This window comes from Homo sapiens, chromosome 21 (genome assembly GCF_000001405.40).
Source record: "Homo sapiens chromosome 21, GRCh38.p14 Primary Assembly".
Taxonomy (NCBI): Eukaryota; Metazoa; Chordata; class Mammalia; order Primates; family Hominidae; genus Homo; species Homo sapiens.
In genome coordinates, this window is record NC_000021.9 from 10,030,418 (window position 1) to 10,055,323 (window position 24,906).

General features: G+C 33.3%; 1 long non-coding RNA gene across 10 annotated transcripts in view; it reads right to left on the reverse strand.

Annotated features, from left to right (window-relative positions):
- LOC105372733 (uncharacterized) overlaps positions 1 to 24,906 on the reverse strand; it is a 123,425-nt gene that overhangs the window by 34,352 nt on the left and 64,167 nt on the right. For 5 of the 10 annotated variants that reach the window (XR_951171.3, XR_951170.3, XR_002958652.2 and 2 more), the window contains 2 exons: positions 11,600 to 11,816; positions 11,112 to 11,213 (listed from right to left, as the gene is read on the reverse strand). The exons of 2 other annotated variants lie outside the window; for them this stretch is intronic. This is a non-coding gene — a long non-coding RNA (uncharacterized LOC105372733). Of the gene's footprint in view, positions 1 to 11,111; positions 11,214 to 11,599; positions 11,817 to 12,038; positions 12,107 to 24,906 lie in introns of all 10 variants that reach the window. 3 more of the 10 variants (XR_951164.3, XR_001754953.2, XR_001754952.2) reach the window with 1 other exon arrangement.

A 24,906-nucleotide genomic window follows, 5' to 3' on the forward strand; every position in this document is an offset into this window, starting at 1 on the left:
ATTTTCTTCCTTTCTTTCTTTTTTTCATGTTGTCTACATTTTTTTTTCAAGGTGAGTTTCTGCTAGACTGTTATTACTGAGCAATCCTTTGGTGGAGAAGGAGGTTCATGCTGCTACAGGCCACAATTTGCCTCATTTGCAGTCAGATCAGGCTTTTTGTCAGAGAGAGGACATGCCCATTAGGCAATATGTATTCAGATATTTCCAACTGATCGCTGCCTTTTCTTTCTGATTCAAATTCCCATTCTCAATATATTTACCTAATGTATGCCTCCCTTTTGCCTTTTTAAGCAAGACTAAAAAATCAATACCCTTGAAAAAAATTGATTAATTTGGCTAACTTAAATTTAAAGTCTTCACTTCTAGCAAAATAGTTTTACTACATGTTTTTTACTATGAGAAAATATGTAAACTATGTATACCAAAGCAAATCTATAAATAATTTAGAAAAATAAAAATATTTCGATAGAAAAGTGGGAAAATGTAAAAATAGGTACTTACTGGAAGAATCAAGAGATTAGTTCTAAAGACCTTAATTATTTGTTTAAACTAATTTAATTAAAATTTTAAAAATAATTAAATTTTTCAATAATCAAGTAAAACAAATTAAACTTAAACAATAGAACCTTTTATTTTGAGATGCAAAAGCATGAATCAAAGACATCTGTAAAGCTTAAATGTATTCAGATTGTAAAGCTAACCCATGTAAACCAAACTAGGCCAGGAATTAGACTATATTAGTGCCCCAGACTCCCCCAAGTGTCCCTTCCTAAAAGAAGCTCCTCTCACCCTAAGTTTTATGTATAATTTTTTTGCTGTGCTTCAAAAAGGTATAGCATGTATGCATCTCTGAACAACATACCTTAGTTTTTTTTGGCCTGCTTTGATAATTACTATGAAATCCTCTTTCTGTATTATTTTGTGCCACACTCCTTTTGTTCAACATATGTTTATGAGTGACAGCCCTGTTGTTGCAAGCGGTTGTAATTTATTTATTTTCACTGCTCTATAATATTTGATTGTTTATATAGATGAGAATTTTCTATTTTATTCCTTATATACATTTGTGTTATTTTAAAGTTTGGGTGCTTAGGAGCAAAGTCAATATGAAAATACTTGGACATATGCTCTCAGAATTATATGCATAAGTTTATCTACAACATATAACTATCCAAGGAATTTTAGGAGCAAACATATGTGGATACTTATTTAATCACAGACTAACTTTTTTTCAAATCAGTTGTATCAATTTATACTTCTTCCTGTGGTACCTAAGATTTCATAAAATTATACTTTCAATCCATGGGTTTAGCAAAATAATTCAAAGTTTAATAATATCAAATTGACATCTATAATTTAAGACCACTTTAGATGAAAATTTTTGATATCTATTAAATTTTACAATGTGAATAACTTATAAGCACAATTTTCCTTAACTCATCATCTGTCTTACGAAATACTAACATATGTGCAATAAAATGCAATAGGATGTCAATTACAGCTTTTTAAAAATAGTCAAAAGCCCATTAAATAGATTAAATGTCCACCAATAGAGAAATGGCTAAGTAAATATGACATATCTAAGAGTTAAAGAAATGATAAAGATTAACATGTGTTGAATCACTAAGATTTCCAATACATATTAAATTGAAAAATAAAAACACATTATTGTGGTTAAAAATACACAAAGTATTAGATTATCAAATCAGACTCACATGCATCGGAGATCTTATGCAAACTTAACTAATAATTTTATGGATAAAAATTATTGTGAGGTACAGGTGGAGCAAGGTAAGGTCAGATAGCACTGTGAGAATCCCTGGGTCCTTTCCTCCCACATCAGATATGCTTTGAACAAGGATAATAGATGATGATTCTGAGTAAGATGTGCGGTCATCTCACTTACACAGAGGAGATATTTAGATCACAAAATATCTCATTTTGTCTTTAGATGGTCCAGGAAACTATGCCCCATGAGTCAAAGAGATTTAGGTTTTATTATAAACAACCCTAGAAAAGAAATCACAGCACATACATTCTTCTAAAAGCATTCTGTAGGTAAGATATTCCTCCCTGGAAACTTCTTAGTTTGTTTGCCAAGAGGTTAGCCAGTTATATGGTTACCAAAAAACCTGCCTTCTTTGTCTCCAGCATGTTTCTTATTAAAGAGAATGAATGAATTGCAGAACTATTGTTTGCAGATTTACTTTTAAATGGTTTATCAGTAAAATATGTGAGAATACATTTTTAAAATGAACTTATGTGATTGCTTTGGAAAATGTCTGGAAATACGCAAACCACACTGATAATAATGGCCTTCTGGGGGTGAACCAACACACAATAGATTTACTGGTAATCGTTTGATTTTTTCAAAAGTACTACATTCCTGTATAATTTGCATGATTAAAATGTATTTAATATAATTTCCACCCGTGATAATTTTCTTGTGTATAAATAGGACATTGCTCTTGCTATTAGCAGCTATATACTGTAATATTTCTAGTTGAACCACAGGGTTTAGCAGACTTCAGCCCATATACTGAACCTGTCCTATTGCCTGTTTTTGTACAACCTGCAGCTAAGAATGTTTTTATATTTTTTGAATAATACAAAAATATCAACAGAAGAATAATAGTCCGTAACACAAAATTAACAAAATTTAACATTTGTGTCTATGAATAAAGTTGATAATATTGTAGCCACAGCCATTTGTCTGCATATTGTCTACTTTCTTGTTACAACAGGGTTTAGCAGTTGTGGCAGAGACTTCTACAATGTTCCCAAAGCCTAAAATATTTACTGTCTTACCCTTTATAGAAATAAATACTTTGCTGACACTGTGACTCATAATAATGTTTGCAACTACTTTTTGAATAAGCTCAGAAGTTTACAGACACACACTCCTAAAATATTTGTTATATTGCTCTTTATGGAAATAATTTGCTTATCCCTGTGAATTATAGTGATGTATACAACTGATTTTTGAATAAGTTAAAAAATTTAGCTGGGGCGGTGCCTCACACCTGTAATCCCAGCACTTTGGGAGGCTGAGGCAGGCAGATCACCTGAGGTCGGGAGTTCAAGACCAGCCTGACCAATGTGGAGAAACCCAGTCTCTACTAAAAATACAAAATTAGCTGGGTGTGGTGGCGCATGCCTGTAATCTCAGCTACTCGGGAGGCTGAGGCAGGAGAATCGCTTGAACCTGGGAGGCGGAGGTTACAGTGAGCCGAGATTGCACCATTGCACTCCAGCCTGGGCAACAAGAACGAAACTCAGTCTCAAAAAAAAAAAAAAAAACTTTACACACACACACAAACATGGATTATGGATTGAGTTGCATGTATTTGAATATTAGTTTTGTTATTCTTGCAACTTATTAGGGGGTTTGACACTTTTTCTAAATTACAATTGGGTGAAATTTTTGCAATTGATAAATTGCTAGATAACATAATCTAGCTCATATTATATGATAACTTTAGATGTTAAATCAGTAATAAACCTTATGAAGATCTATGTTTCTAGGAAACAATTACTTCAACAAGAAGGGAAAGTAAAGACAGAAGGTAAAACAAAATATAAGACGAAATAAAATAAAGATGGGAATTGAATGCCATAGAAGTGTGGAAGTTGGAAGGAAAGTTTCTAAAATTATTTGGATAAAAAGGAAGCCATATATTTTACTGAATCTTCTAGATGGGTTTTAATTCTGTATCCTTTCATACTCATGTACTATGCCTTTTTTTCAACTTTTCATTCCACTTGTACTTCCTAACTTATGATGAATTTACCTATATAGAGTCCTTTTATCATTTAGACTAAAATTGTATTTATTTGAAGGTAAGAACGGTCATATACTTCTTAGTTGTTTTCAGAATTGAAAACATGGTTGAGGCCAGGCACGGTGTCTCTCATCTGTAATCCTAGCACTTTGAGAGGCCGAGGCGGGGGGACTACGAGATCAGGAGTTCGATACCAGCCTGACCAACATGGAGAAACGTGGTCTCTACTAAAAATACAAAATTAGCTGGGCATGGTAGTGCACACCTGTAATCCCAGCTATTTGGGAGGCTGAGTAAGGAGAATTGCTTGAACCCTGGAGGCAGAGGTTGCAGTGAGCTGAGATCACGCCATTGCACTCCAGCCTGGGCAACAAGAGCAAAACTCATCTCAAAAGAAAAAAAAAAAAAAGAAAACATGGTTGAAAGTCAATATCCATGTGATAAATTGAGTTAGAAAGCCAATGAGAGCTTAGCTAATATAAAGGTGATGGAATTCACTATCAAAACTTTTCAGAGACTTAGAAAAAATATGGAAAATTAGTGAAAATGTAACAGAATGAGGCTTGAAATCAAGATAATTAAACTGCAAACTTTAAGAAGGCAGGAAAGATATCCTTTACTTAGTTTGTCTTGTCCAACTAATGGTTAGTTGAATGCCATGCACATAACGCATCCCTCTGAGTACTTATTGAATAAATGTAGAATGTCATTCTGGAATAAATTGAGGCAAGAAACTAGAGGGATAGCAGTGTGAAAAGTGAGATTAATTTATTTGGTATAGAGTCAGTAAATTTAAGTGGGCCATTTGAAACAACAAGCTTAAAAGAAAACCAAATAAGCATTTTCAATGCATAGAAATGCAACCATTTTTCTCCTTCTGTACTTTATCCATTCAAACATTGCTTGAAAAAAAATATAACTTTCAGTCTTGCTTTTTTATCTCCACCAAACTCAGATAATTTTGGTCGTTGATGACCTAAGCTAATTCCTATTTTAGAATGCTACGGACGAACGAATCTCAAAACTTCTTTTAACCAACTTATTTTATTCCATTTCCTAAGGAATAGAAATTTTTTACCTCCAACCAGGGGAGCTATGAAACAAACTCCCTATTTATTTCCAATCTAAACACATTTGATAAAACAGGCAGAGGAATTTTTTATCAGATCTGTATTTTAAATTTTCATGACTGTTGTTCAAGAGTTTCCATTCTTCTTCATAAATATGTAGAGGCTTAAAATTCTTTTCTGAAAAATAAACTGCTATTTTAAATGATTTTAACTCATATTTATAATACCTTTTTTTATTCTCTGATGATCTCTTGCTGTTTTTCTTTCTCTAGAAATGTTCTAAGAATAAATTAGCTGTTATACTAAGAAAGGTTCACAAAATGAGTCCTTCACCTATACAGCACCTCTTCTAAATAACAGAGAGATTACAAATCCAATGTATTTAAACTCTGAGATGTCTATATGTGTAGTGTTAAAAAATGTAGCTGTCAGTTTTAACAGCTTTTCCCCTGAGATTTCAGTGGCTAGCTAATGATCTCTTTTAAGGATTAGGACAATTTCTAGATAGTGAAATGGCAGGAAAACATATCAAATACATATTTTTCCATTATACTATTCTGAGGACTGTAAAGTCTTACTCAATGTATATCACTTTTAATTTTTAGGATACATAGAAATATTTGCTAGTAGAAATAAATGGCAACTGTTTACTTGAAGATGGTTTAGAAAGATGCTTTTCTCTTTTAATTTGAATTGCTACTGTAAATGTCATCACATGTATTTCAGTATTGTCTATGCCAACTTTGTACCTGAAAAACAGTATTATGAATTGGGCATTATATTCCATCTTCATAAATTAAAAAAGAAACATAATAACTAGCGAAGTGGAATGAGGAAGGTGTGGGGAGACACAGAATTTTTCAAAAGTAGTAACAAATTCAAGCATGTATTAGCTTAATATATCATAACTTAAATGATTTAAATTAGGTATATGTTTATACCAATAAGTTTTAAATTCTTAATTCTAACCTCATCAAGTACCAACAAAGAATGCCCTTCCATATTAATACACTTTGGGAATTAAGATAAAGTATATGTAATTAAATCATCAAACTCCTTTTGTTGTTTAGCAGGTAGTTTGATATAATAAGAGAAATTGTGTTCTCATTATATATTTGTCACAATGAATGAATGTAAAACCTTAATCAGGCTATCTGACTTCTTTTAGTGACATTACCCTTTTTGCAACCAACACATCAAATTAGTAATATTTATCCTACAAAAATAATGTGAAGATAAATGAGATAACATATATAATAGTCACAAATACTTATTGAATAAAGCTGTTTTTATTTATATATTTCTATGTACTTACTAGATATGTTCTTATTAAATATTTTATTATGGTATATGTCAAGTCTTTTACTTCTTTTTTTATACTTAGTATATTATAGAACTCATCTTCCAATAAAATTGTAATACAATTTTCTTGATTTACTAATCCTAGGTGAAAAAAATATATATATATATATGTTGTCTTCTGTTTGAATTATGCTTAGTGGATGGCATTTTCAATAATCTCTCTGATTCTTCCTTTTCCTGTTTAAACTACTCTCATTCTCATTGTGGCCTAGAGTTCTTTTTCCCTAATATTGCCTTCAGAAGGCTAAGTTTCTAATATAATAACAATTTGAGTCTTTACCACTTCTCTCTAGAATCGTGATTTAGACTAGGTTATTAGAGTAAACAATATGATTCCAAATTTTTTCTTTTTTTTAATGGGCTAGCATCCAAAAAGCTTAAGAATTCTTGGGGGAAATGACATAATTAAGCTAGATTATTTTAATTTAAATTCAGAATTAAAAATCATTTTCAATAGCTTCTTTGTCTTAATTTAACAAGCTTTTGTTGAACATTGATTATATTTTGAATTCTATTTTTTCTTTTATTTTTAGTTGGCACATAATTATACGTATTTATGGGATACAGAGTGATATTTTGATACATGTATACAATATGAAATAATCTAATCAGAGTAATTAGCATATCTATCACCTTGTACATTTGTCATTTCCTTGTGATGTGAATATTCAGAATTCTGTCTGGTACGTTTTTAAAAAAATTCACTAAATTATTGTTAACTTAATTCACCCTACAGTGCTACAGAACAGTAGAGCTATTCCTCCCTTCTAGCTACAACTTTGTTACAAAGTTAACTTTGCTTACCAACCTCTTTCCATCCTCTTCTTATTCCCATCCTTTCCAGCCTCTGATAACTACAATTCTACTTGTTACTTTTATAAGTTCATTTTTACCTCCCACATATAAGTGAGAACATGTGGTTTTTCTCTCTCTGTGCCTGTCTTATTTCACTTAACGTAATGTCCTCCAGGCTCATCCACGTTGTAACTAATAACATGATTTCAATTCATTACAAAACTTAAAAGGATACTCAACAGTGCCAAACATTCTATTTTAGTTTCCCAATGCATTCACTCCCACAGCATTCATAACAATAACCTTCTACAAAGTTACCACGTCTTATGCTAAATTGACAAGATCTCCCAATATTAAGTAAATTCTGTCCTTAGCTCTCCCTCTCATTTTAGTATTATCATTCTCATTAATGAATAATTCCCTTTTTGTTAAAAGTTTACATTGACCTACCGTTGTCCTTCAGTTATCAACTTACTTTGTATTCTTTCTTTGAAAGAAATCAATCAAACAATAGACAGTCTCCTTCAATATTTCCTGTACTGTCTTCAACCCACTTAGCTGAGTACTTTCTTTTTTCTCTACTTACTCACTTTTTCCCGAGTGTTCTCAAGCATTTTCATGGGTTTAAAGGCCAGTTACATGATAGCATCTCAGAATATTTCCCATTTTGGTATCTTCTCTGAGGTAGAGCTTTGCATAGTCATCTACTTACTTAATATCAAATGTGGATTGTTTTATAGACAACTGAAATTCATAATGTTTTAAGTAGAGTTTTGTTATTTTCTCTGCTTCCCAGTTTGTGTGTGTATGTTTGTTTGTTTACTTCAGCTGGTGTTCCCATTGATTTTATCTTATCTAATACACCAAAACCCTATCAGTAGCTGTTTTCTTCAAACTTGCACATATCTTAAATATGTATTTCATTATTTTGAACAAGGTCTCCACCTTCTTGTCCTTTCACTTTAATAGTTTTCTAATTCATTTCCTTGTGTTTATTCTTGTCCCAGTAAAAATTATTCTTGGTTTAAGAGGCAGAGATATATATGTATTATAAACACAGGGAAACAAATTAGATATAAACCAATTATTATAAACCAATGTAATAATAATAATATATATTACATTTTTTTCTTTTTTATTTCTTCTTTTTCTTTTTTATTTTTTGTAATGTAAGCAAGATTCTTTCCCTCCTTTGCCTTAAATCCTTTAGTTACTTGTGGAGTACAATTACAAATCTCCAGGATGCTAAAGCTCTGCTCTGCTGTCTACAATCAAAGGCACCATTCAAGACCCTCACTCCTAACGAGACAGGGCTCTTTCCACTCTTGAAACACAGTTTTTCCCCATGTCAGGGTTTTGCACAAGGTAACAACTTGTCTTTGAAGCTTCATAGTTTGGCTTGTTAATCAAATGGTTCCTTTTCCATATTTAAGTCATCACTTTACATTTCATTTTCTTGGAGAGGTCTTCGCATGACTCCAAGCTATCACCAGTTATGTGCTATCGTAGAACATGGTTTATCCAGAAATAGTGATAACTTTCATCACTATTGATCATTCTTTGGTTTTCTTTACATTTATTTTATATCTTAAACACTGTAATATAAAAGACCTCAGGGATGGACCATGAATTTTATATTTAGCACAATACTTCAGAAGATCCATACTATCCTTTTTCTTTTTTATTCATTTTATTTTAAAATTTTCATTTTGAACTACTTTAAAGCTTACAAAAATATATTTTAAAAAATCAAGAGTTCCTATATATTCTTCACCCAGCTTCTTGACTGCTAACACCAATCTAAGAGTACAGTTACTCACATTAGGAAATTGATATGGAATTAGTTACTTACCTACATATTTTGTTCATGGTTCCACTAATGTTTTTTAACTAGGATCAAAATCAGGGTCACACATTGCATTTATCTGCTACATTTCTTTAGTCTTCTTTATCTGGGTGCGGTGGCTCATGCCTGTAAGCCCAGCACTTTGGGAGGCCAAGGCGGGCGGATCACGAGGACAGGAGATAGAAACCATCCTGGCTAAAACGGTGAAACTCCGTCTCTACTAAAAATACAAAAAATTAGCTGGCGTGGTGGCGGGCACCTGTAGTCCTAGCTACTTGGGAGGCTGAGGCAGGAAAATGGCGTGAACCCAGGAGGCGGAGCTTGCAGTGAGCAGAGATCACGCCTCTGCACTCCAGCCTTGGCAACAGTGCAAGACTCCATCTCAAAAAAAAAAATGTTAAAAAAGAAAATTCAGCTTTTCTTTTTGTCTTTCATGCCCTTGATACTTGTTTTTTGTAGATTATTCTGAAGTTTGATTTTTTTCTAATATTTCTTCATGGTTAAATTCACATAATATATTTTGGCAAGAATGCCACAATGCCGAGGTTGTCCTTCTCAGTGCATCATATCAGGAGGCACATGATATCATCGTGTCCTAATACTGTTGACATTAACTCTGATCACTTGAATAAGATATTGTCTGCCACATTTCTCCACTTCAAAGTTACCATTTTTAAAATCAGTATTTTGTTGAGAGATACTTGGAGATTATGTAAATATCTTGTTTCTCATAATTGTATCCACTAATTTTAGCAGACTTGTCTGCAACAATTATATGGTATTTGCCAAGAAATGAGAATCTATTTCCACTATTCTTTCTATATTTATTGATTAGAATTCTACTGTATGGAAAAGCTTTCCTTTGTCCCACTTTTCTTATTTATCCAATTATTTATTTATATTAGTGTGGATTCATGTGTATTTGGTTTAATTAATCTGAATAATCTATTGCCATCATTATTTATTCCCTTGCTCAATTTATCTCAGTTTGTGTCACTGAGAGCCACTTCTAGTTAGCTCCTATGTTCTTTGGCATGTCTCCATCATTAGTTGAGACTTCCTTATTTTCTTAACAACAACAGATGTCTCAGACCCATTTTGTTCTTTCTGCCGCATGCACCTAGAATCAGGCATTGATCCAAGCAGCTCTGTATCCTTTTAACGAAGAAAAAAGTGAATCCAAGATTTGAATGCTAGATGTGCTGATTGCTATTAAAATGTTATTGCTTCTAGTCTTAGTGGTTAAAATTAAGAAATATACACACATTCAGCCGGGCGCTGTGGCTCACACCTGTAATCCCAGCACTTTGGGAGGCCAAGATGGGCGGATTTTGAGGTCAGAAGATTGAGACCATCCTGGCTAACACGGTGAAACCCCGTCTCTACTAAAAATACAAAAACATTAGCTGGGCGTGGTGGCAGGTGCCTGTAGTCCCAGCTACTTGGGAGACTGAGGCAGGAGAATGGCATGAATCCAGGAGGCAGAGCTTGCAGTGAGCCAAGATCAGGCCACTGCACTCCAAGCTGGGCGACAGAGAAAGACTCCATCTCAAAAAAAAAATATATATATATATATATACACATTCACACACAAACATGTGCATCTAGGTCTATTTATATATCTACACATTCTTTTCAATTTCTATCTAATGTAGAAAAAAAGTAAACTTAAGTATATATTGATAGTTTTGATTCTGATTGAACACCATAAGTGTTATTCTAGTCTCCACTCCCCTTCATTTCTAAATTCTTTTTCTAAAACAGAATCACTTAGTTTTGTTTTAGTTAATATACTTAATATAATCATTTGCTTTTTATTTTTATTTTTTTAAATTTCAACTTTTAGATTTGAGGATATATGTGAGGGTTTGTTACAGAGTATACTGCATGATGCTGAGGTTTGGGGTATGACTGAACCCATCATCCAGGTAGTGAGCATAGAACCCAAGAGGTATTTTCTATGGCACTTTACACATTCTAGAAAACTGGTTGTTAATTAGCACAAGCACCTATAATAGTGCCTGATATATTTAATACTCAAAATATATGTTAAATTAAAAACAAATGTATAAATTAATGGTTGACTATCATAATAATTACTCAAAATGTAACATAATTCCAAAGGAGAAAACTTTTTTCTAAAAAGGCTCTCTCAATTGCTCTTTCTGATTTATTATTTTCCCCAAATCTGTAGTTGCTTCATTATTGTTTGGAATTTTGCATTAGTTGTCAACAAACAAAAAATATGGATCATACCACAGCTCTTTCATTGCTTTCATTTCTTGAGATATATGAATGTATGTGATATCTTTGATGTCCTGTATTTTATCTTTATTGCTTTTTGTTACTTAAGAACATCTAGAAAAGAAGATAAATATTAATCATGTCAGAAATTATCAAAGGTTGATTACAATAAAAATTTCTCTAATGTGATAACCACTCAAAAACTTCCTTCTTCATCAAAACACAGTATTTTTTAAAAAATAGAGTGCTTCATTTTTATTTCACAGAAAATAATCAAATGATAGCCATAATATTATGAACTAGAGTCACATAGGCTATTCTAATAATACTTTTTGTGAAAGAAGTATTGAGGAGGTCTTAGGACCAAAGAATATTTGTTTAATAGTGTCAGAATTCATTTTAACACCATAAAAAGGATATGTATTTGTTCAATTTCACTCACTGCACAAAGAATTAGATAAAAGAAGATTTTCAGTAATAGCATTCATTTTGAGTCTTACCAATCCTTTCAGTTTTGGTATAACAAAAAGGCTATTAGCTTTTACTCTGTTGTGTTGAATTTTGATGATTTCTGACAGTCTTCACTGAGATGCTCAAAGAGATGAGACTTGCCAGTCTAATAACTTAAGATCTCATTAAATTTACCAGCAACATAAAAGCTATTTCTGCCTCTTAACTTTTTGATGTGTTGCCTTTTTCTAATCCTCTTCTCAGGACCTATTTGAAAGACAATAAAAATTTTGTTTTTGTGTGTTGAAAGATTTCTCCATTATCAAGAGAGTAGTCAGTTCTTAACTTTAGAATGATTGTATATATAGATATGAAAAATAAGGAAACAATTATTAAGAAAACTAATCAAATTTTGTACTAACATTTAGTAATTTTAACAAAATTATTGTGCATTGTATTTTGCAGCATTTATGCAGAGGATATACTAACCTGTTTAAATTTTTAGACACAAATAGTAGAAAATAGAACATCATCATTTTCAGGAGCAAGGAAGTAACCTGTGAAAAAGTGAATGCCTTTCTTCAAATAATATGCTAATGAAAGGCTGAGATATTAATGTCCAAATATTATAAAACGTTCATTTTAATATAATGTTTTACTTTATATTTATATTGTATTGTATAACAAAGAAATGTGAGTCTTCTTACACCTGAGAACTTGAACTGGCAATCTACATATTGTTGTTGAAACAATTTTAAATTAAACATACAATGAGAGGGAAAAATGATTCTGTTGCCTCAATTTTAAAAGGAATATTTTGAAGAAATAATTTTCCATATAATAGCTTGTTATGATCTTGCCTTTTAGCCTCCCTGGATAAAGAAATGCATACTTATAATAATTGAAGGAAGACAATTTTCCTTGTTTTCTGCAAATTAGAAATATATTAGGCTATTAAATACATAATTCAAAATATACAGAATAAAGGTATTATAGAACCTAAGAATTATATAAAGAATTATATACATAAAGTAATGAATACATATACAAATAGTATAAAAATACTAAAAATAGTATTTGCTTATTGATTAATTACTATGGGTATTATATAACTCTTAGTTTCTACATTGCCTTTCTATTCTTAGTTATTATAATAGGTATATTATAATTACTAATACGTATAAACTACTTATAGTTTATATGAATGTGTTATATGTACATGTATATTATAATAACTAATACCTATAAACTATTTACAATTATACATATTATAATAACTAATAAATATAAACTACTTATTGTCAAAACTGTTTTTAACTATTAAAAGATAAAGCACACAGATATGTTTTCTTTACTAGGTATTCCCAGAAGCACTCATAAAACTCGGAGTTTTCATATAGCAGTGATTACAGACTTGCTATTTTTATTATTCCCATTTCATAGATTAAGAGCACAAGACTCATATTAGTGTTATTTAGCCATGTCACAGAGCCAGTTCCCAGATATTTTTTCCACTTGTTTTGTCATGAAGAATGAGAAGTAGAATCAGCATCAAGTTTGTGCTAAACAAGTACAATAATAAGAAAGCACAGCAAATGCTGACTAGACTGTAAGAATATTTTTGCTTTTAGGCTACCCAAAAAAGATAAGATATATGAGGTGATCAAAGTGAATAATTATATAAACAAGAGGAATTAGAATATGAATAAGCCAGGAAAAATAGGAATAGTCCAAAAAAACACACACACCCATTTCTTATTTAAACTTAAAAGGAGACAAATTCATTCAATCTATATATATTTATTTTGCTACCTCAATAGAGATAAATATCTTCTCTAAGAAAAATCCCACTTTACTTAATATGTATCACATTTACCTAACAAGTAACATATTACTAAAACAGAGAGCAACCAGTGTTTTACTCTTTTTTTTTTCAGAGATTTTTTGCTCTTGTTGCCCAAGTTGGAGTGCAATGGCATGATCTCGGCTCACTGCAACCTCCACCTCCCAGGTTCAAGCAATTCTCCTGCCTCAGCCTGCCAAGTAGCTGGGCTTACAGGCATGCACCAACATGCCTGGCTAATTTTTGTGTTTTTTTTTTAATAGACACGGGATTTCACCATGTTGGTCAGGCTAGTCTCGAACACCTGACCTCAAGTGATCCACCCGCCTCGGCCTCCCAAAGTGCTGGGATTATAGGCATGAGACTTTGCGCCTGGCCTCATTTATTTTCATATAAAATATAGGGTCAAGTATGTTGAGATATTAATTACGCTATATTTTGCTCAGTATTGCCTGAGAGTTGGATTATTATTTTTTTTTTTTTTGAGACGGAGTCTCGCTCTGTCGCCCAGGCTGGAGTACAGTGGCGGGATCTCGGCTCACTGCAAGCTCCGCCTCCCGGGTTCACGCCATTCTCCTGCCTCAGCCTCCCAAGTAGCTGGGACTACAGGCGCCCGCCACTACGCCCGGCTAATTTTTTTGTATTTTTAGTAGAGACGGGGTTTCACCGTTTTAGCCGGGATGGTCTCGATCCCCTGACCTCGTGATCCGCCCGCCTCGGCCTCCCAAAGTGCTGGGATTACAGGCGTGAGCCACCGCGCCCGGCCGGATTATTTTATCATTGTAGAGAATAGCTTCTAGGTTATGAGAATATTAAATAAAATAAACTGGAGAGACTCTCAGCAGCAAACTATGGTATGTAAGTATATAGGTAAATATGTATCTATCTATCTATTTATCTATCTAATCTAGCCTATCTATCTATCTATCTATCACCTATCTATCCATCTATCTATCTATCTCCTTTTCTTTCATTTATGTCTGGATCTGTACCAAACACCAGGCAGAGGAGTTAGGAGAAGTAACTGAAAAACCCATGGGTGACATCACCAACTAAAACAGGTGACAAATAATCAGCATAAAACCCAGGATACAAGAGTAATTGTCCTAATCATTGGCAGCATAGGGCCAGTACCAGCTGGACTTAATGGCAAAGATAAAATGAAGATAAAAGGAAGTATTGTAAGATCTTAATATCAATAAACTACAACAAGAAATCATCAATAATGCTCACTCCCAAAAGAAAAATACTTACCCTGAAGAAAAACAATTGGAACAAAATCAAAATTAATCAGAGAATCAGATAATCTGAGACAAGTAAGATAATTTTTAGAAAATAATTTTTAGAAAAAAAAAATTTGAAGGTACATAAAATCAAATAGAAGTGGTACAAACTATAGTAAGAGATATAGAGTATAAAAATAAGAGTAAAAAACAGAAATTGAGAGATTAAAAACATCTAAAAATTTTCTAAACATAGAACTTCGGCAAAGAATAGTAATACCCATGTAACGGTTATTTCTAAGAACAAAAATTAAAATAAAAAATAATATTAATTATTTGAGCATGAAGGTAAAAGGATAAGAAGTTTATATTGATAATAGACTTCTTGATAGCAACATTTTATACAGGATGATAATCAAGAAATGGTTTAATGATTATGAAACAGATAACACAGTAGCGAGATGAGATTTTATTCATCCAAACTATGAATCATGTCTAAGGAATGTAGAACATCATGAATATTTATGATTTTAAGAAACATTGTTCCTGTGATGGCTTTTTTAGAAATGTCCTACCTACTGACAAGAAGACAAACATCATGTGAAGCTTCTGGATAAGGACTAAATATGTTTAATTTTATAATTAAGAACAAGTAATGGGGATTAAAGTGACAAAACATGATGCTATTAAGTGTGTTAAACATGAAGAAATAATGCAACTCAACAACAAATGGAAAAAAGGAGAAGAAAAAGAAAGTAGACGAATCTTAATGACTATCTCAGGAGTATCTAACTGCCATTAAAAAAATATGGAATTAAAGTAAATGTTAAGCAAAAAGAGAGAAGAAAGGAAAGAAAGTTTACTAGAATACAGTATTACTACTCATTGAAGAAATCAATAGACAGTATTCAAACACACTAGAGGACTAGTATATTTTATTATAATATTATTATAAGATAATAATAAGAATAAACATAGAAACATTTATAAATACCAAATGAGTATATCCTGCCCCTCAAATTAAAGTGTAAATACAGGGCAAGATTTTATATAAATTATTTATATAGCAAAAACTTATATAACAGAACTTAACACCAGCATAACAGGTATATCAAAGACACAAATGGGCTTAACTCACCATTAAATGGCATACTTTTAGATTGGCTAATGGAGCAGAATCCAATCTATTCTGTGTGCAAGAAACATATTGAACAAGGCAATTCAGAATGGTTTAATGTAAAAGGAAGAGCAAAGATAGATCTTGTATGATAGCAAGATCCTGAAATAGTTGTCAGAATTTTGCTATGAGACAAGATAGAATTTAAGACAAAATAAATTTAACAGGATAAGGAAGGGAAATTTATTCTACAGAAGGATTCATGCTTCATTCTACATTAAAAATAAAATATATATTAATAACATACACAAAATTACAATTTTCATAAAGCAGAAAGAAGTTGAAAGAAGAAATAGACATTAAAACTGGAGATTTTAACATAGCTTATTAATTGGTAAGTCCTTGAAGAATGCAAATAAGCCTCACTTTTACTAATTAAAAAAAATTAACACAAATACTGACAAAGACTCCTTCATCAAACTTTAGTCAGATTTTTGAGCTCTCGTCTCAACTAGATCTTCACCTAGGCCCCTTGCCTAGTCTCCATAGCTCACTTTTAACAAGAATCCTTAAGTCCATATAGACAGAATCTTGATATCTGATCACCCTGAGCTGCCTTCAGCAAGAATCCTGTTAATTTGGTTTAGCAAGAGTTCCCCTACTTTTGATGTCTCCTCTTAGTAATTTTCCATCCACTGACCCCCTCACACTGCTCTTTTGCTATAAATTTCCATGCGTGCTTGTATTTGGAATTGAGCTCCTTTCTCTACTAAAGTCTCTTTTCCTGTGTTGCAATAATTTCTGAATAAAATCTTTCTTTACTGCTTTAATTACCCTCTGGCTCTGGTTCTCTTTGACATTACTCTTTGAAGAATCACTTTAGGGGAAAAGAATAAATGCAAGAAGACAAAGGCAGAGACTATTATCCAAATATAGAATGGAGATAATGATATCATACTGAATGGGCAAAAACTGGAAGCATTCCCTTTGAAAACTGGCACAAGACAGGGATGCCCTCTTTCACCACTCATATTCAGCATAGTGTTGGAAGTTCTGGCCAGGGTAATTAGGCAGGGGAAGGAAATAAAGGGTATTCAATTAGGAAAAGAGGAAATCAAATTGTCCCTGTTTGCAGATGACATGATTGTATATCTAGAAAACTCCACTGTCTCAGCCCAAAATCTCCTTAAGCTGATAAGCAACTTCAGCAAAGTCTCAGGATACAAAATCAATGTACAAAAATCACAAGCATTCTTATACACCAATAACAGACAGACAGAGAGCCAAATCATGAGTGAACTCCCATTCACAATTCCTTCAAAGAGAATAAAATACCTAGGAATCCAACTTACAAGGGATGTGAAGGACCTCTTCAAGGAGAACTACAAACCGCTGCTCAATGAAATAAAAGAGGATACAAACAAATGGAAGAACATTCCATGCTCATGGGTAGGAAGAATCAATATTGTGAAAATGGCCATACTGCCCAAGGTAATTTATAGATTCAATGTCATCCCCATCAAGCTACCAATGACTTTCTTCACAGAATTGGAAAAAACTACTTTAAAGTTCATATGAAACCAAAAAAGAGCCCGCATTGCCAAGTCAATGCTAAGCCAAAAGAACAAAGCTGGAGGCATCATGCTACCTGACTTCAAACTATACTACAAAGCTACAGTAACCAAAACAGCATGGTACTGGTACCAAAACAGACATATAGATCAATGGAACAGAACAGAGCCTTCCGAAATAACGCCGCATATCTACAACTATCTGATCTTTGACAAACCTGAGAAAAACAAGAAATGGGGAAAGGATTCCCTATTTAATAAATGGTGCTGGGAAAACTGGCTAGCCATATGTAGAAAGCTGAAACTGGATCCCTTCCTTACACCTTATACAAAAATCAATTCAAGATGGATTAAGGACTTAAACGTTAGACCTAAAACCATAAAAACCCTAGAAGAAAACCTAGGCATTACCATTCAGGACACAGGCATGGGCAAGGACTTCATGTCTAAAACACCAAAAGCAATGGCAACAAAATCCAAAATTGACAAATGGGATCTAATTAAACTAAGGAGCTTCTGCACAGCAAAAGAAACTACCATCAGAGTGAACAGGCAACCTACAGAATGGGAGAAAATTTTCGCAACCTACTCATCTGTCAAAGGGCTAATAACCAGAATCTACAGTGAACTCAAACAAATTGACAAGAAAAAAACAAACAACACCATCAAAAAGTGGGCAAAGGATATGAACAGACACTTCTCAAAAGAAGACATTTATGCAGCCAAAAAACACATGAAAAAATGCTCACCATCACTGGCCATCAGAGAAATGCAAATCAAAACCACAATGAGATACCATCTCACACCAGTTAGAGTGGCAATCATTAAAAAGTCAGGAAACAACAGGTGCTGGAGAGGATGTGGAGAAATAGGAACACTATTACACTGCTGGTGGGACTGTAAACTAGTTCAACCACTGTGGAAGTCAGTGTGGCGATTCCTCAGGGATCTAGAACTAGAAATACCATTTGACCCAGCCATCCCATTACTGGGTATATACCCAAAGAACTATAAATCATGCGGCTATGAAGACACATGCACACGTATGTTTACTGCGGCACTATTCACAATAGTAAAGACTTGGAACCAACCCAAATGTCCAACAATGATAGACTGGATTAAGAAAATGTGGCATATATACACCATGGAATACTATGCAGCCATAAAAAATGATGAGTTCATGTCCTTTGTAGGGACGTGGATGAAATTGGAAATCATCATTCTCAGTAAACTATCGCAAGAACAAAAAACCAAACACTGCATATTCTCACTCATAGGTGGGAATTGAACAATGAGAACACATGGACACAGGAAGGGGAACATCACACTCTGGGGACTGTTGTGGGGTGGGGGCAGGGGGGAGGGATAGCTTTAGGAGATACACCTAATGCTAATTGATGAGTTAATGGGTGCAGCACACCAACATGGCACATGTATACATATGTAACTAACCTGCACATTGTGCACATGTACCCTAAGACTTAAAGTATAATAATAATAATAAAAAATAAGGAATGGAGATAATGATGATGGTAATGTCTTGGATACTGATTGCAATGGACTGCATGTCTGTTGCCACCCTGTCTCTGAAACTTATAGGTGGAAATCCTAACCCTTAATATGATGGTATTAGGAGGTGGGACTTTCAGGAGGTGGTTACATCATGAGGTTGGAGCCCTTCTAAATGGAACTAGTTCCCCTATATAATAGACCCAAGAGAGTTCTCTCACTCTCTGGCATGTGAGGATACAAGAAGAAAATGGTAGTCTGCAACTTAGAAGAGAGATATCACTGAAACCTGGTCACTCTGGTACCATGGTCTCAGACTTCTAGCCTTTAGAACTGTGAAAAAATTGATTTTTGTTATTTCTAAGCCACCTAGTCTATAGGTCTTTGTGATAGCAGTCAGAATTGACTAAAACAGTAATAGTAGCAATGGCGATGGAAAGAGTGAATGCATTTGATATATACTTTGAAGAAAGAAATAACAGGACTATCAGTCATGTGGATGTTTGGCATGAGAGAAATGCAAGATGGTAATTAAACAACTTTGTGTCTAAGTCTGAAGGTTGGAGAATAGGCAAAGGTAAAAGTAAAGCTATGGGAGTTACCGACACTTATGAGCCCTTTAAAGGAATTATTTATTTTTATTGTTAAATCACCAAGGAAGGGTTGAAACAGACAATAGAAATTAATGCCAAATGAGCTGAAAAAAAAATGTGTTGCAATTAAGTTGGGAATAAAAAGCTGAGGTGGCAAGAAGAAAAGCAAGGTTGGTATATTTTTAAAGAACTCTATAATGAATAATGTTTTGAAGAGGAAGAAATTTTCAACAATTTGAAATGCTGCTGAGACTTTGGGAAATGTGAATGGTGCCCACGTAGAAGTTATTGACAGTCATTGAAACAACACTCCCTTTAGCATTATGTATAAGAAACTAGATTAGAATGAAACAAATGGATTCTTAATTCCAGAATTGTGGAGAAATAGAAAATCTAAAAACTTATTGGAAACACAAGAAATGCAACATGAACTACAATAACCATCCATTTCAATAAAATTAGAGGATTTCAGGTTCAGGTCATGATAAAGTAGCACAAACTCACACCCTGAAGTTGGCTATAAAAGCTGGGCAAAATATGTTAGACAATTGTTGGAAGACACGGGAGAACAATCAATGTATACAGAGCTTGAGTGGGATTATTATTAAAAAGAAATAATTATAGACTATAAATTACATTCACTCAGACGTTTTTCCTCTAATAACATTTCCCAAATAGTGATGTGAAGAAAGAAAGCATACACAGAAAGTGAAATTTTACTGTGTTGAGGTGACAGAGATTAGAGTTCAGAGTATCTAGTGTGTATGGGGCTCATGAGACAAATTTCCAAGAAGGAGGTAACCACAGAGAGAGAGCCTGAATATCTGCATACAAATGCCCCTTAAGTGTGGCCAGTATCAAAGATATGTATGCACAAGGTGAGACGTCAAGAAGCCTAGCAGAAATCAATAAATGGGAGGTTGGAGTGCTGAGTTTAGATTTCAGCTAGTGGTTTAGAGAAGAAAGAGGTTGTGGTTCAAACACTGGTAATTACAGAGGATGAGATGGGAGTGAGAAACTATATGGCTAAATGTGGTCATTCTTCAGGTTTTAGCTTTTATGCAGGGTGCTATATGCTGGTTGCTTCCAACACTGAAAAAGTTATTATTTAATTACCTACATATAAAAGATGACCATGAATAGGCATAAGATGAAAGTATGTCATTAATCAAAATGATGATTAATTCAATTCTCTATAATTGAGATTCAATTAAAAAGAATATTATTCATCACATTCACAGAGTAAATGAGAAAAATCACATAATTTCAGTAGATGCAGATACGTTAAGATCTGTATCCTAACAGATATTGATACAAAGAAGTATTTGATAAAATTCATCATTAATTTACTGTATATATATATATGCTCTTATTAAACTAGGATTTAAAAGGCACTTAATTAAGTTGATAAAGTGTATCTTTTGAAATCCTATAAACAATATGTTATGACATAATAATGTGGGAATGTTAGAAGACTTGCTTTTAAACCTGGGAACAAGAAGAGATTCTCTGTTATTTTCCTATGCTGCTGTAACAAATTGCCACAAAATGGGTAGCTTAAAGCAACACAGACTTTTTCTCTTATAGTTCTGAAGGCCAAAAATTCATAATCAGTATCAGTGGTCTAAAACCAAGGTGTGATCAGCACCCTATTTTTTCCAGAGAACTCAGGGGAGAGTAATTCTAGAAATTATTCCAGAAACGCAGCTTCTAGAACTACATTTCTTGTCTCAAAGGCCACTTCTTCTATCTTCAAAGATAGCAGCGTATAATTTTCAAATATTTCTCCACTTCCATGATCACATAACCTAGATTCTATGTCAAATCTCCCTCTCCCTCACTCTTATAAGGACACTTAAGATTGCATTTAGAGCCCACCAAGATAATTCATGATAATCTTCCATCACAAAATTCTTCACTTATTCACATCTGCAAGTCTCTTTGCCATAAAGGTTACATTTACAGGTACTAAGGATTAAGACCTGACATCTCTTGAGGCCATTATTCACCCTAACACAGATGTCCTCTCTTGCTGCTTGTTTTACACATTGTACTTTTCTGAATACTTTTGAGAAAGTTTGCTCTAAAGAAGAAAAAAAAGTAGTTCTATATTTGTGAGACATGTAGACTGAGGAGAATGACTATTTTTCTAATGTGATATATAAAAGCACATTTATGTGACAATAGCAATAATAGAGAAGATAAAGTTATGCAGAAGGGAGAAGATTTGACAATAGCAAGCATGAAAGTCCTGCAGGAGAAAAGTTTGGATGGGATACTGAATAAAATTGTAATATTACTTTTTGATGCATACGTTCACACCATTTTTTCACAATGCTTCCTAGATTGCTCTGTATTTCTTTCCCATCTATATATATATACGCATATATATATACACATATATATACACACACATATATATACACACATATATACACACATATATACACACACATATATACACACACATATATACACACACATATATATACACATATATATACACATATATATACACACATATATATACACATACACACATATATATACACATTTTGACTGAAAATGATTGACTAGGATGAAAGAAAATGAGAAAGAAAAACGGAACAAGGAATTCTCAATTATATAAATAGAATATTATAATTAGTAAACCATGAATAAAAGAAGGCATATGGGCTGGGCGCGGTGGCTCACGCTTCTAATCCCAGCACTTTGGGAGGCCGAGGTGGGCGGTTATGAAGTCAGGAGATTGAGACCATTCTGGCTAACAGGGTGAAACCCTGTCTCTACTAAAAATAGGAAAAATTAGTCAGGCGTGGTGATGGGCACCTGTAGTGCCAGCTAGTCGGGCGGAGGCTGAGGCAGGAGAATGGCGTGAACCCGGGAGGCAGAGCTTGCAGTGAGCCGAGATCGTGCCACTGCACTCCAGCCTGGGCGACAGAGCGAGATTCCATCTCAGAAAAAAGAAAAAAAAAAGGAATACTTGATAAAAAAGGTATCCATATATCAGATAAGAAGATGTAAAATTTATGTGCTATCTACTTCTGGAATTTCCACCATAAGGGAATAATAATGACGTAGGGGTTCACTTAAAGGACAGAACTTGTACTTGGTTACTTATGTACACAATCTCTGCCTTACTTGCTTTTGGTGGATCGTATTGTGTCATTTCAATGTGGCCATTATTGTCTTTTATGAACATATACAATAAAGTAATATACCTTTACATAATGTCTACATCTCTACTGTAATTTAAACTTTAATGGCTCAAAAATGCTAAATTACAAAATAGAGAAAGATGTGTGTTAAATGCAGATTAATATAATTTAAATAATATTATATATGATAAGGGTTTGTAAAACTTAACTATTAAGATGGATAGATGAGAAAGATAGAAACCTAGAATACAATACTAGAAAATCTAGAAACATAGTAGAGATGAGTTCAATAATTCAATTCTATATAAGAGGTCATCAAACTACAAAGCACAGAGCTAATCAGGCCACTGATGCATTTTGGTAAACAAAGTTTTATTAGAATAAAGTGACATCCTTTTATTTTACTTATTGTTTATGGATACTTATGCACTACGATGGCAAATACTGGTACTTGTGACAGAGATCACATGGCACGTACATTCTAAAATACTTAATAGTTGGCCCTTCACGAAAGGTTTTGAGAGCTACTGCTCTAGGAAATCTCAGGTTCAATGTCAGTTATGAATCAGCTTTGCTTAGCATAGCCATGTTTGAAATCCTTTCCAATGACAATAATTGTTACTGCCTCTAGACAGAAGAGTCCAATTATTTTAAGGTTTCATTATTAGGAATGGTTCATTTAATTAAGCCATAGTTGTTACTTCAAGTATAATTAATTAGTGAAGGTATATTGCTTTTATGGGATATAATTAATAGGAAAATAGGTTACTGCTCTGTGGCATAGTTAGAATTTAAATGCTGTGGCTTTATAGAATTTAAAGGTAGGGTCTGTTTATTATGAATTATGCCTCCCATCATCTAGCTCATGTGAGGTAGTTCTGGAATAGCACATTATTTATGTTTGCTGATAATTTATTTTAGATATAATGGTTGGTTAGGAAGGAGTTCACGGTGAAGAAGGTAGATGTCACAAAAACATGCCTGAAATGGTGATGGAGAAGACGAATCCGTGTATTTATTCATTTAATAAGTTATGTTGTCATTCAAGCAAATAAAAATAGTCTTTACTCTGAACATTCATATAAAATATCTGTTGTATAATTAATCGTGTGCTTCTGAATAAAATAGATGAAAGCATAGTTTGCATTATAAGCATTAATTCATTAAAATTTACCCTGAACATTGTTATTTGGTTTTATTAGCAAGAAATATAGCACTTGGAATGGTTTTAGTAAACCATACATGTGAAGAACTCTAGATCATAAAGAACCTAAAATACAGAATTTTCAGCATTATTATAATCTATTTAATTATACATTCAGGTTTATTTGTTACTGAAACTTAGTAACTTGATTTTGGGAGTTTTATATCGCTTCTGTGTCTTGTTTGTTTGCACAAGTTTGTTTATGGTGAAGTGCAAAGTATTTTAGTAAAAGGGATTTGAGCCACAGATGACAAATAATTACAGGAACATATAAACTACACTTGGACTTTAAAGCAGGTTTAGATTATATTACTTTGGTTATTATTCTTTGTTTTCAAAAGGGAATGATGGGTTATAGCTTTATGCCCAAATATTTAGGCAAAACACGACAAAAGAAGGGTGAAGAGACCTTTTATCGAATGGACAAAGTAGAAGGTAGCACTCATAAAATATACTGTTTTGTGTAATAAGTGAATGGAATCTTTACACAATTTTTTGCTAGGGTTAATTGTTTAGGAAACTTTTCTAATTGGCAACTACTTCATAGAAAAACTTGATCCAGACCTATATGTGGAACTTCCCTTTATATTAACTTGCTGAAATTATTAAAGTTAAAAGCTTGTTTTTCCAGGTTGATACTCTCAAGACCTACAAAGACCAGCACATTGAAGCAATCAGTTGATTACCATCATGATGCCTGCGTATGTTTATTTCATGTCAGACACACCTGAGGTCTGTAATTGAATACATAAAGAGTGCAACCATGGAAGAAACAAGGTTGGCTTGTGGTGCTCCTATGGCAGCATCAACACAACTTCAAGTGCACCATGAGCATGAGCACTGCCAAGAAAATATATTGGCTCTCAACTCTCAGAATACTGCCATGTCTAGAACTTTTGGCCTTGCCAACCACTGGGCAGTAAGAGACAGTAACAAATCACAGCAGATACTGTTTCCTTAGAGCAATTAAATTACATCAGAAAAACTAAGCTGAGTGATAACAAAACAATTTCTAAATGTCAGGAGCCTATATCAATTCATTCATAAGTTGCTCATTTCACATGTCCTTGGTGTTGCTTATGATTCTACTCATGGGTCATTGTCACCTTTATACCAGGATCTAGAGGACAAAGCAGCCA